Raw genomic sequence first — 14,486 nt, 5'->3', positions numbered from 1 at the left:
CAATAAGTGCTTCCTTTAAGTGAAAAGGTGAACATTTTCCTTGGATAGGTAAAATACATATATATGCTGAAGTTGCTAAGACCTACGGTAAGAACAAATCTTCAATCTGTGGAATTGTGAACAAGGAAAAAGAAATTTGTGCATAATATTTCTAGGGTTCTGTATTATCCTTGGTTTCATGTATCCACTAGGGGTCTTGGAAGATACTCCACGTGGATATTCTGGTACCAACAAGATAAACATAATATCTGGCAGCCAATCAAATTTCACAAGACACACAAAGAAGCGGAAAACTACAATCCATTATAAGGAGAAAAAAAATCAATCAACTGAAGCCAACCCAGACTGAACACAGATGCTAGACTTAGAAGAAAAGGACATTAAAACTTACAACTATATTCTATGTATTCAGAAAGCTAGAGGAAATAGTGAATGTGTCATGTAGAAACATGGGAGATATTTTGTAAAGACCCAAATTGAACTTCCAGAGATGAAAATTACAATATTTGAGATTTAAAACACACTAGGGAAGTAAAAGCAGATTAGACAGTACAGAAAAAAAGGTTAGCAGATTTAAAGACATAGGTATAGAAGCTATCTAAAATAAAACACGGAGAAAAAAACACTCAAATATAAAATAACATACCGTTATTTGTCTGTAGGAAACATCAGGTGTTTCCTAATACATGTGCCATTAGAGTCTCCAGAGGAGCAAAGAAAGAGAAAGGAACAGAAAAAATAAGTGAATATATCTGAGATGTTTCAAAATTTAACTAAAATTATAAACAGATCTAAGAAGTTCAACAAACCCCAAGCACAAGAAACATAAAACAACTATACCAAGGCACATGACAATCAAATTTTTCAAAAGAAGTATTAAGTTAAAGTCTTGCCAGGCATGGTGGCTCACACCTATAATCCCAGCACTTTGGGAGGCTGAGACGGGAGGATCACTTGAGCCCAGGAGTTTGAGACCAGCCTGGGCAACATGGCAAAGGCCTGTCTCTACAAAAAACACCAAAATTAGCCAGGTCTGGTGGCAGACGCCTGTAGTCCCAGCTACTCAGGAGGCTGAGACAGGAAAATTGCTTGAGGACCTGAGGCAGAGGCTGCAATGAGCCGAGATCATATCACTGCACTCCAGCGTGGATGACAGAGTGAGACCCTGTCTTTAAAAAAAAAAAAAAAAGTCTTAAAACCAGCCAGAGAAAAAAGATACTTTACATACAGAGGAACCAAGATAAGCATTTGGGCAGACTTTGTTAGAAGCAGTGCAAGTGAGACAACAATGAAGCAAAATCTTTGAAGGACTGAGAGAAAAAAAAAATCTACACCCAGTAAGAATATCTTTCAAAAATGAGGTGAATTAAGTACATTTTGAGACATATAAAATTGAAAGAATTTATCACCAGCAGATTCACATTACAAAAAGTGATAAAGTCTTTCAGAAAGGTAAGAGGGAGAGAGAAAGGGAAGGAGTGGGAAAGGGAAGGCAAGTAAAAGGATGCCAAATGTTAAGTGTGGACTGAAGACTGAAGACCACTGGAAATGATCACTACAGTTGTAAACACACAAGATTTTTTTCTTATTATTATACTTTAAAAGACAACTGTTTAACTGACTGATGTTATCTGACCAAGACAACATGATTTTTTCTTATACTTTAAAAGACAACTGTTTAACTGACACATTATCTGACCAAGATAACATGACGTATTATCCCATTTAAGCTGTCAGTCATGACCAAGAGGAGTTTAATCTCAAGAATGCAAGAGTTGTTTAATATTCAAAAATAGGCCAGGCGCAGTGGCTCATGCCTGTAATCCCAACACCTTGGGAGGCCAAGGTGGGCAGATCACTTGAGGTCAGGAGTTCGAGACCAGCCTGAGCAACATGGTGAAACTCCATCTCTACTAAAAACACAAAAATTAGCCAGGCATGGTAGCAGGTGCCTATAATCCCAGCTACTGGGGAGCTGAGGCATGAGAATCACTTGAACTCAGGAGACGGAGGTTGCAGTGAGCTGAGATTGTGCCACTTCACTACAGCCTGGGCGACAGAGTGAGACCCCAACTCAAAAATAAATAAACAAAGCAATATTTTTTCAATATAATTCACCATATGAACAAACTAAAATGAAAAAACACATAATCATTTCAATGGATTCAGAAAAAGCATTTGACAATATCCCACATCCAATTCCAGATAAAAACTCTCAACAAATCCAAATAGAAGAGAACTTTCCCAGTCAGCTAAAGAGCATCTATGAAAAACCCATAGCCTTAGCTGGGTGCGGCGGCTCACGCCTGTAATCCCAGCACTTTGGGAGGCCAAGGCGGGCGGATTGCCTGAGATCAGGAGTTTGAGACCAGCCTGGCCAACATGGTGAAACCCCATCTCTACTAAAAAAAAAAATACAAAAAAAGCTGGGTGTGGTGGCATGAGCCTGTAATCCCAGCTATTCAGGAGGCTGAGGCAGGGGAATTGCTTGAACCAGGGAGGTGGAGGTCGCTGTGAGCCAAGATCACGCCACTGCCCTCCAGCCTGGGCAACAGAGCGACACTCAGTCTCAAGCAAAAAAAAAAAAGGAAAAACCCATAGCTAATATCATACGTAGTGGTGAAAGACTGAATTTATATGGAAACGCAAAAGACAGAGAATAGACAACTTTGAAAAGAATGAAACTGAAGGACTAACACCATCTGATTTCAGTGTTTATTATAAATCTACAAATATCAAGACAGTATGGTTATTAGTATAAACATAGACAAATAGATCAATGGAACAGCATAGTCTAGAAATAGACCCACATATGAATGGACAATTGATTTTTTATAAAGGTGCAAAAGAAATTCAGAGGAGAAAGAATGTTCTTCCTAATGAATGACGCTGACACAATTATATATCCATATGCAAAAAAAAGTGCTTTGATCCACATGTCATATTCAAGAATTAACTCAAAATTGATCATAGACTCAAGTGTAAAACCTAAAACTACAAAACTTCTAGAAGGAAATCTAGGAAAATATCTTTGTGACCTTATACTAGGTGAAGGTTTCACAGCTATAGTATTCAACGCACAATCCATAAATGGAAAATTTGACAATTTGACTTCATTGAAGACAAAAATTTCTGCTCTTTGAAAGATACTGTTAAGAATGAAAGGCCAGAAATCGGGAGAAAATATTTACAAATTATATGTCTGATAAAGGACTCTTATCCAAAATATATAATGAACTCTCAAACCCAGTAATACGAGACAAACAATAAAATAAGATACAAACAACCATTAAAAATAGTCAGATTTGAAAACACATTTCACCAAATAAGATACACAGATGGCAAATAAACCTTTAAAACTTTCTCAACATCATTACATTAGAGAAATGCAAATTCAAACCACAATCAGATACCATCATACGTCTGCAAAAGTTGTCAGAATCAAAATGGAGTCACTTGTGTCAAAACCCTGACAAACAGAGCTAAGGAAGGCCATGAAGGAAGGACTTTCATGCACGTATGCCTGATAACAGGAACTATCACAAAAGACTCTGCAAAAACCACAACCTTGCACAAAGGCTGCCACTACCTTACAAAAAACTACTTCTACAAGGACATCTGCCTAGCAATTGAATCGATGCCACCCTTGCTATTGGTCCTAGTAGCCAAGGATTGGCTGAAAACAACTTAATCTTCTTCATTTTACCTTTAAAAACTTTTGCCTTATCTTCCTGAATACGCCCACACATATTCCCATTTCAATGCCCATTCCTGAATAAATCTTTCTTTCAGAGTCTCCTTCTCTGTTATTTAGGTTTGACACACCTATTAGAGTGCTTAAATTAAAAAGACTAAACATACTAAGGTTGGAGACGGGTGAATAAACTGAATTATCATACACTGATAGTGGGTCATTTTACAGACCCACTATATGTGGAACGCTGACTTTAAAAATAGTATGAGGCTGGGCGCAGTGGCTCATGCCTGTAATCCCAGCACTTTGGGAGGCTGAGGCGGGTGGATCATGAGTTCAGGAGTTCAAGACCAGCCTGGCCAAGATGGTGAAACCCATCTCTACTAAAAATACAAAAATTAGCCAGGCAAGGTAGCAGGCGCCTGTAGGCCCAGCTACTCAGGAGGCTGAAGTAGGGGAATTGCTTGACCCCGAGGGGCAGAAGTTACAGTGAGCTGAGATCACACCACTGCACTCCAGCCTGGGCAACAGAGACTCCTTCTCAAAAAAATAAAAAATTAAAATTAAAAAAATAAAAACAATATGAACATTTCATAATATGTTAAACGTACTCCTACTATTTGATCCAGACATTCCAACTGTAGGTATTTAGCCAAGATAAATGAAAATGTACATGCACACAAAGATCTACACATCAGTGTTCATAGCAGCATTATTTGTAATAGCACAAAACTGGAAACCACTTAAATGTTCATCAACAGGTAAATGAACGCCAACTATGGAATATCCATACCATGGATCTAACAGGTGAATGTCAACTATGGCATATCCATACAGTGGAATACTACTCAGCAATAAAAACAAAGAAGCTACTGGCACACAATTTATAATCTCAAAAACAAAAGAATGCTGACTGAAAGAAGCCAAACAAAAACATACACATACTGTATGATTTCATTTATATAAAATTCTTTAAAGTACAAACTGTAACAGAAAGTTGATGGGAGGAAGAAACTACAAAAGGGCACTAGGAAACTTTTAAGGATGATAAATATGTTCATCACCTGAATTTTGGTGACTGTTTTAGGACCTGTACATATGTCAAGACTTATCAACTTGCATAATCTAAAATGTGCAGTTTATTGTATATGTCAATTATACCTCAATGAAGCTGCTAAAAATTAACAACGGGGGAAAAGGGAATAAATGGTAACTTAACCAAACCATAAGAAAAGGAATAAAGAGGAACCAGCAAAATAAAACGAACAACAGGCTAGGCGCGGTGGCTCACGCCTGTAATCCCAACACTTTGGGAGGCCGAGGCGGGTAGATCACCTGAGGTCAGGAGGAGTTTGAGACCAGCCTGGCCAACACAGTGAAACCCCGTCTCTAATAAAAATACAAAAATTAGCCAGGCATGGTGGCATTCACCTTTAATTCCAGCTACTCAGGAGGCTGAAGCAGGAGAATCGCTCGAACCCAGGAGGCGGAGGTTGCAGTGAGCCAAGATCGGGCCACTGCACTCCAGTCTGGGTGACAGAGCAAGACTCCATCTCAAAGAAAATAAAAAATAAAAAAATAAAACAAACAGTGAACATACTTAAGTTGGCAGAAGGAAAGTGAGTATAGTTATCCTTTGTTACACTTGGGGGTTTGGTTTCAGGACCCCCACAGATGCCCAAATCTGCTCATTCCCAAGTCCCAAAGTCAGCCCTGTGGAACCTGCCTATGTGAAAAGTCAGCCCTCTGTTAAAGTGGGTTTCACATCCAGGGAGTACTGTATTTTCAATCTGAGTTTGGTTGAAAAAAATCTGCGTATTAGTAGAGTCTCCCAGATCATACCCGTGTTGTTCAAGGGTCAACTGTATTATCAGTTGTCACTAAATATAAACAAACTGAATTAACCCATTAAAAAACAGACTGTCAGGTTGGCTTAAAAACAAATCCAGCTATGTACTACATGCAAAAAAGAAATGTAAAACAAAGTGATTTTAAGAAGTTGAAAATAAAGGAGTGGCTTCTGATACTATGCAACCACAAAGAAAGGGAAAGTAGAAGCCTGTTAATTAAAGCAACCAAAAAAGATGATCTAAGTGTCAACTTCTGATTCAGAAAAATTAAAATTTCATAAATCAATCGTCTTGAATAGATAGGAGTTAAAACTTAAGATACTTACTAACATGATTTTACATAAATGGTGATCCAAAAGAGGGCCTATGTTGGTTTTTAAATTAGCCTACCTAAATTAACTTTTTCACAAGCGTTAGTCCTACTGGGAGGTTCTTTAAACACCACTTCTTGCTTTGAGGACATAGTTTAGTAATAAATTGTGTTGGTTTTAATCATTAATTTCCAAGGCTAATTGTTGTTTCTAAGTAATTATGTGTATTGAGAGTCTTTGGGAACAGATCATGATTTGTAATTTAACCCATCAGTTATTAGCATATTACAACTTGAAAAAGATTGAAAAGTATTAATGTCTTATTTTGCTGATCTTTGGAGGCCCACAGATGTGACAAATCTTGGATAAAAATGTATCTTCTGTTCCCTTTTCCTGTAGATGTAGGATTTGGGCCAATGCAATGATTGGCTCCATGTACTTTGTTGCTCTTTAAGGTTCTCATACTTGGTCCAGAGTTTCCATCAGGGTGAGGAAGAGGGAGACAAGGGTTGTATTCAGTCTGCAACATGCCTTGAATGCCACCTTCTACAAAATATGTGAACTCAATAAATACTCTTTGACGTCTTCAATCAGTCCTGCCAATGGGGTAGTCTAGAACTGTGGTTCTCAAACTTTGGCTTGCATCAGAATCATCTCGAGGGCTTGTTAAGATACAGATTCCTGGGCCCCTTCCCCAGAGTTCCTGACCGAATCTGATGTGGGGCTGAGAATGTGTATTTCTAACAAATTCCCAGGAGGTGCTGCTGCTAACTGGTGATTCTGGCACTCAGAACCATTGTTTCTCCTGTTGTTGCTGCTTCTCAGCATGGCTTCAGCCCGGGGCTGTTTCTCTCGCCGTCACCATGACATCCACTGCCAGACACAATCACCTGGAAGTCACCGCAACATCCACTGCCAGATACACTCACCTAGAAGATGACAAGAGAAACAGCCATGGGCTGAAGAAACAGCCATAGCTGTTTCTTGTCGTCTTCCAGGTGAATGTGTCTGACAGATGTTGTGGTACCTCCCCAGATCCTTCTTTAAGACTTAGCACCTCATTCCCCAACAATGGGGAGCATTGCTTATTAATTTATTAGAGACAGGGTCTCACTCTGCTGCCCAGGCTATAGTGTAGTGGGGTGATCACAGCTCATTGCAGCCTCAAATTCCTGGGTTCAAGCAATCCTCCCTCCTTGACCTCCCAAAGTGCTGGGATTACAGGCATGAGCCACCATGCTGGCCCAAGTGTTGCTTGCTGATGGCTCACAAATCCTCCTTTCTAGGAAGCCTGCTTCTAATTAAGGAGCTGCTTGCCCAAGGTCTGCTCCCATCCCTGAGGCAGCCACTATGTCCCCATAACTGGTGGATGAAGAGGGTGTAAAGCTCAGCCCCACTGCCTCAATTCAGGACCTCTGAAGAGCCACCCTGACTCCCCACGGGGCTTCCCCAGTCCACATGCAATACAGCTGCATGCAAATCTCTGACTCTCAGTATGTTTCCCAGGTCCCAGTGCAAGCCCCATCTACTCGGCACCCCTCACCCCACCCCAACCTTACCCCTACCCACATTGGGTCCCTTCCCCTGCATTAGCCTCAGAAAACTGGATACTCAGAGACCTTTGTGGGTCTGAGCCTCAAGAACACAGCGGCTGAGGCACAAAAGAGGGAGCCCTCACTGTCTCTGGCCCCACACAGAGGTGACGCTGCTGCCACAGTCACAGCAGTCAGCCGGACACTCCACATGCTCCGCGTGCTCCTCAGTCTGCAGGACAGTTGCCAAAACAATCAACCCAGGTGTTTGCTCTGAAGAAGAAAATATGCAGCGCTCCCGCTTCATAGTCACACAGGCGGAGCGAGAAGCCAGGAGGGTCCCACCCAGGGAAGGGCTGCTTTCTTACCCAGCTGGGTTCTGCCCAGAGGCCAAAATGTCCCACCCTATACTCAGGAAGCTCTCAGAGACATTGGTTCCAAGAAATGCAGGGTAAGGAACAATGGTTTAACTGATGCTTTTCTTCTTCCATTCATTCAACCAACATTCGCTTGAGCTTCCACTGTGTTGGGCTCTGGCGTAATCTGGGGGACCCAAGGGGGACTAAAACAGAATCCTTTTCATCAAGAGGTTTACAATCTGGTGCAGGAGATGGACATGAAATAGGCAGTCCCAGGAAGTCCTGCGAGAGGCAGTATGCACAGTAGTGAAGAACTTGGGCTCTGGAGCCAGAACACCCAGCTTCAATTCCTGCAGGACCTTGGGCAAGTCACTTACCTCTCTGAGTCTCAGCGTCCTCATCTGTGAAATGGGGATGATAGCAGTGCCTACCTCACACAAGGTCTAAATGAGTTAATACCTGAGAAGTGTTTACAATAGTGCCTGGTGGGCCCAACACAGTGGCTCACACCTATAATTTCAGCACTTTGGGAGGTCAAGGCAGGGATCGCTTGCACCCAGGAGTTGGAGCCCACCCTGGCAACATAGTGGGACCTCGTATCTACAAAAAATGGAAAATTAGCCAGGCATGGTGGCATGTGCCTCTAGTCCCAGCTACCCAGAAGGCTGAAGCAGGAGGATCGATTGAGCCCAGGGAAGTTGAGGCTGAAGTGAGCTGTGATCATGCCACCACACTCCAGCCTGGGTGACAGAGCGAGGCCCTGTCTCAAACAAATAAAATGAAATAGTGCCTGGTACAGAATCCTGATTGTTAGGTATTGTGAATATTGGCGTGAAAGAGAGAAGGGTGCTGAGGACTCATATCAGGAGGTCAGGGTTCCAGCCATGAAACTTACAACCTCTGAGGGCTACAGCTTGCCTGTCTGTAACATGAGCAGATCCAAACAAAGGATCCCTACAGCCCTTCTAGTGTTGGAGCTGTGGGCTAGAGGTGCCACCCACTGGGCACCTACTAAAGTAGTAGTCAGGGGAACATCTCCTGCCTTGGACATGTAGGATTTAGGGAGAAAGGGAGGACTTTGCTTCACTTGGCTTCACAGGAGGTTTGATGATGGCTGACAGCCTGTTGCCAAGGACATCAGCTGAGGATAGGCAGGATGGTTCATGCCCAGGCAGGCACCTCCTCCATCCCAGGGCCCCAGGACCTAGGGGCTACAACCCCCCTCCACATGCATCTCCTCTCCTCTCCTCCCCTCAAGGCCGCCTGCCCCATCTCTGGACCCACATTCCTCTTCTCTTTGTAAATGCCACTGACAGCCTGCAGTTTTGCACACGCATCTGCTTGCTTGGCCAGAGGGACTATCGACTCCACAGCACACATCAGCAGGGAACTTTCAGAGGTCATGGGCCAAGGCTTTGGGGAACATAGTCCTGTTGGTGAATGCCCATGTCAGGAAAGGACACTGAATGACAGACACATGAACGCTGGAGCTCAGAGCAAGGCTGGTGGCTCCCCAAAACAGTGGCTTGGGAGAGAACAGGCCAGCTGGCAGCACTTCACTGTGTGATGCAGACTGTACCCTCTGCTAGGCCACCAACCAGAGGGGCATTCCTGGCTGTGGAGAAGGGAGGAATGATGGAGCAAATTCAGAGGGATCCCAGGATCTATTTTGTGTTGTCTTATTCTCTGCCAGTTCTTGCCTTCTCTCTCTTCTCCTCATCTTCAGTTAAGAAAAATGGAAGCACAGTGTGGGGGGTAGCCAAGACCTTGGACCAACCTGGATGCTAATTTCAATCCACAACACTGGACGTAAGCCCTGGCCAGCAGTCCTCAGCTACTTTCAGCTCAGCCACCCGAGGCTCCTAGGGCTGAAAATACCCGAGCATCTGATGAAGCAGCTGCAGGTTAAATTTAGCCCTGGCGAACCTGGGACTGATCTGGGTGCTAGAAGCAGCAGAGCAGACTGACTGACGCACCCAACACAGGTGTGAGGGCCAATGATGGCACCTGGGAGGGAAGCACCTGGGAGGGAAGTGGAGCAAGGGAAAGAGACAGAGCAGGGCCCAAAGCCAGTTCTCATCTTGCAGGAGTGTGACAGGACCCGTCAGCCCGGCACTGCTGTTAGCGGATGCCAGGCAGGTAGCATCAACGAGCAAAGCAGAAAGATGTACAGAAAGGGGAAGGGTGGGATTGTGATAAACTGCAAAGCAGATGTCCCACCTAAAACCACTGGAATAGCCTGGGCGACAGAAGGAGACTCTGTCTCTAAATAAACAACAAAACCACTGGAATTTAGGTTTTTAAATAACATCATGTTAGCCAAATAAAATCCTGCATTTGATCTGCAGACTCTTAGTGTGATACCCTGGCCTAGTTGAATGGAGAAGCCAACCCCATGGCCACTATTTCACCATCAGCTATTTCATTCTTTGTTTCTTCAGAGTCTCCTGTTAAAATCCAAACAGACCTCGGGCTTTGAGCTTTCTTAGCTAACTCGGTTATTCTTACTGATCTCTTTAAAGAAGGAAGAAAGGGGAAACAATCAGCGTGCATGAATAAATTAACTGGTAAATTAGCACCTAATATGTTCAGAATCAACTATTTGTTACCTGTATTGAGCAGCAGTTACTGAATGCAAAGAATTCCACTCAACTGGGGTTGGAGTCAGACAGGCTTTGGTCTCAATCCTGGCTCTGCCATCACTGGGAAACTAATTAACTTCCCCAAACTGCAGCTTCCTCTGCGTAGGGTGGAAATCATATGCCTTTCTTGGATTGTTATGAAGATTAAATGAAATAACCCAGGACAGTGTTCGACATGAGATAATTCATGCTCAGTAAATGGTGGATGAACTTTAATCATCTGAAAGCCAGGTTCTGTGGGACAGGGACTAAGAGTGGAAGGGGAAGAAGGCAGTGGGAGAGCCCTTCACCAGCTCACAGCTTTCCTGGAGCCGGCATTCCAGCCCGGGTCAGGCCTCATGCAGAATCAGAGGGCTTCGGAGCCACGTGGGGCCACACTGCCCCCCTGTGCCCATTTGCCACACTGCGGCTGCATTCATGCAAAGCTGCCATTTGAGATGCAGAATCCGGCCAGAAGACCACGACTTCACCATTGTCTCTACTCCGCTGGAACCCCTCCCTGCTGTCTTGTGCTGAGCTGGGTGGTTGTGGAAGCCAATTATCTAAGACTGCAATAACCTGTGTTGTCCAGTCACCCAAGCAAGCTACCCCCACACTGGGGAGCACATGTCCAACTTCCCTGAGCCAGCACTCACCCACAGATGGCCAGGTACTGCAATCACCTGGATAGATTTGGAAATAAATACCCACTGACACCCATCCAGACCTACAGAATCAAAACCTCTGAGGATGGGTCTGGGGGATCCATATAAAAAGAAAAACCTTCCCAAAGGAACTTACATTCAGCCGATTTTGAAAACATACTGCTTTAACCCCTTACTGGGCTGCTCTGCAATACCTCTTCGGTCTGACTTGGTTTTGTAAGTGACACAAGCAGAAAAACACTGTGCTCTCTGCACTGAAAATGAGTATTCCCATGGAGCTGGAGAAGCAAGGAGGTAAGGAGTAGATGAAAGGAAGCAGACAGAGCAGGAGGTAGAAAAAAGGAGATCCTGAGGAAGACACAGAAAGGAAGGAAAACAGGCACAGAGAGAGAAAGAAATGGGAAAGAAGAGGAAAGGGAGGAGAACAGAGGGAGGGAAGGGGGAGAGAGATATAAAGAAATACATGAGAAAGATGCAGCACACTCCTAAACTCATGATAGCATTTGCTAGGGCAGTGATAACCTACGCCAAAACAATAGACATATAGTAGATTAAGAAAAAAAGTATTTCAATGTAGGCATAGGATTCATACCTACAATATGCAAAAAAAGGTTCTACATATTGACAAGGATATAAAAAACGCAATGGAGAAATGAGCAAAGACATGGAGAGAAGATCCAAGTAGCCAAGACATGAAAAAGTGTTCAGCTCACTAGCAGTTTGGGAAATGCAGATCATTATTGTATACCTATACTTACTGGCAAAAATCAGAAAGCCACTTACTTATAGCTGAGTGGGATGTAGGGGAAAGGATTTCTTTAAATCTTGATGGCAAAAAATATAAATTGTTACTGAACTTTGAAAAGCTATCTGACGTCATCTAACAAAATTTACCACTCAATCAATCCACCTGCTCCATTCTGGGGACTTGATGCTCTCAAGATAAAAGCACCAGGACACATCAATATTTGCACAAGAATGCTAATTGCAGCATTGTTCCCAGTAGCAAAAACACCAGTACAAAGAAAAAGGCCATTAATAGGGTACTGTTGAATAAACACTGATAGATCTAGCCCATTCAATATGGCTTTATACAGCAATTAAATGGAATGAATAGAGCCATATTGGAGTTGAAATTTAAGGAATGAGGTACTGTGTGGAAAACAATCATTAAAAATATAGGGTAAAAGTGTTCATAATATTGCTCCATTTTTGTAAAACAACATAATGATAGAAATTTCTGTTGTGTATATGTGTACGTGTGTGTGCAGGGCTGGCATTCAGCCAGTGTACACTGATAAAACCATATTGGACATTTTAGCAAGCGTTCACTGTGTTTGGTTGGTGCTGTGCATACTGCAGCCAGTACGTATTTGCTACATATTTTGAATGTCATTCCTGCAATATATGCATTCATATTATTGTATATAAGTATATAATAAATATGGAGAAAATATAGATGGCTGCATTGTAGGCTGTTAACATGGATTACTTGGAAAGGAAAGGAGACTTCTTTAGGTAGGATAAGGGAAAATAAAAGAGGGGATAACCGATCTAATAAGGAAAAGACAAAGACAGCAGGAAAACCTGTGTAACACAATCATAAATATGCTATGCACTTCTGTAAAAATATATATATGTTTCCAAGTATATAGCATTTTGAAAATATAAATGTGAGAAGCTTGTATTAGTCAGCAATTGTTGCAATCATGCCATGTAACAACCCAAACCCAAAAATCTCGGCAAGTACAATAAAAGCATGTATTTCTCACTCACGGATCAGTGGGTTGGCTGGTGTGACTGCTTTAGGCTGTGGGTCAGGCTCCCTGTGTCTCTCATTCTGAACCAGAACCACCTGGGGCATGCTCTTCTCATGGAAAATGGCAGTGGCACAGGAGGGAAGCTAAGCCATACAAGCACACGTAAAGCCTCTGCTCATGCCTCATTCACTTGCACTCTGATGTCTGAAGGAAGTCACATGGCCAACCCAACATCAGTGGGATAATATGTTCTTCCCATAAAGGGGTGGCGGGGGTATGGGAGAGGGAGAGCAAATGCTTGCTAAATGAAAATACAGTCTCCCCCAGAATCCTGTGGAAAGCTGGGCAAGAGAGGATGATTGTACCATGGAGAGAGCTCTCTTGGGGAAAAAAAAAAAAGAGAGAGAGACAAGTGAAGACAATGCCAAGGGCATGTTGTACAAATGGCCTAGTCAGTTGAAGAACACAGATAGCCCTGTCCTGACACATCGTCACAACAGATGAGATACCTGTTGGGGAAAGGGTGTAAATTGGTGCAACATTTTTGGAAAGCTGTTTAATAATATCGCTTAAAATATAAAATGCACAAACTTTAAAAACAATCTACAATTTCCTCCTGGAATGGAACCTTATCTGTGGATATACTAGCCAAATGATATCAAGTAAGGCAATGTTTATAGTAGGAAACAAAAACTAGGAAAAAAACTAAATATCAGAAGAATATGGTTAAATAAATCATACTATATCCATAAAATGTAACATTCTGCAGTTGTTAAAAACAAAATACTAGCACTCTATATGTGCACATATCTAGAAATATCAAGATATATTAAGTTTAAAATGAAAATTCAAAAAAATGAGCAAAGAATATAAACAGGCAAGTCATCAAAGAAAACTCAAATTGTCAATGAATATAAAACATGCTCTTCTTCACTAGTGAGTAGGAATTTCTAATTACAAAAACAGTAAGATAGCATTCCACCCTCAGAAAAATTCATTTAAAAAATCTGATCATACCAAGTACTGGCAAAAATGTGGAAAAGCAGAAACTCTTCCGTGGTAGCAATAGCATCATTCGCAAGTAGTAAAGGAAACTGCGTCTTGAAACTTCTGCTCAACAAAGGGACAGCTAATGATATAGAAGGACCTTTTGTTTTCTTTTTTCTTTTGGAGACAGAGTTTCCCTCTGTCGCCCGGGCTGGAGTGCAATGGAGTGATCTCAGCTCACTGCAACCTCCACCTCCTGAGTTCAACTGATTCTCCTGCCTCAGCCTCCCAAGTAGCTGGGATTACAGGCATGCACCACCATGCCCAGCTAATTCTTGTATTTTTAGTAGAGATGGGGTTTCACTATGTTGGCCAGACTGGTCCTGAACTCCTGACCTCAAACGATCTGCCCTCCTTGGCCTCCCAAAATGCAAGTATTACAGATGTGAGCCACTGCTTCCAGCCTGTTTTCTTTTTATGATAATTATAATAATGTAGATATAGGCTGTGAATTTTAAAAAAGCATTTAGAAAAGGCTTTCATGGCATCCAGGTGGGGAATATAGAGCTATGTGGGTTGAAGATTAGAACGATTAGGAGCATCCATAGCTGGCTAAAAAAAGGAAGTACAGATTGATTATCCAGCAAGTGTGAGCCAAAAGGGGTCTCTACTGGTGTGCCAAGGGTCTCTAGACTAGACTCTTGCAA

The 14,486-nt window shown here is 42.5% G+C and overlaps 2 annotated features.

Annotated features, from left to right (window-relative positions):
- Window positions 6,385-6,892: an enhancer, noted in NCBI's record as "NANOG hESC enhancer chr7:105821183-105821690 (GRCh37/hg19 assembly coordinates)". NCBI's record gives its function as "activates a minimal SCP1, AML or CMV promoter by ChIP-STARR-seq in primed H9 embryonic stem cells {active_cell/tissue: H9 hESC(primed)}" and the evidence as "EXISTENCE:reporter gene assay evidence [ECO:0000049][PMID:30033119]".
- Window positions 10,745-10,884: a silencer, noted in NCBI's record as "silent region_18531". NCBI's record gives its function as "represses an Ori minimal core promoter by ATAC-STARR-seq in GM12878 lymphoblastoid cells {active_cell/tissue: GM12878}" and the evidence as "EXISTENCE:reporter gene assay evidence [ECO:0000049][PMID:35858748]".

This window comes from Homo sapiens, chromosome 7, assembly GCF_000001405.40.
Source record: "Homo sapiens chromosome 7, GRCh38.p14 Primary Assembly".
Lineage (NCBI taxonomy): Eukaryota > Metazoa > Chordata > Mammalia > Primates > Hominidae > Homo > Homo sapiens.
The sequence above is the reverse complement of the archived record's forward strand: the minus strand, read 5'-3'. Positions and strand labels throughout refer to the sequence as shown.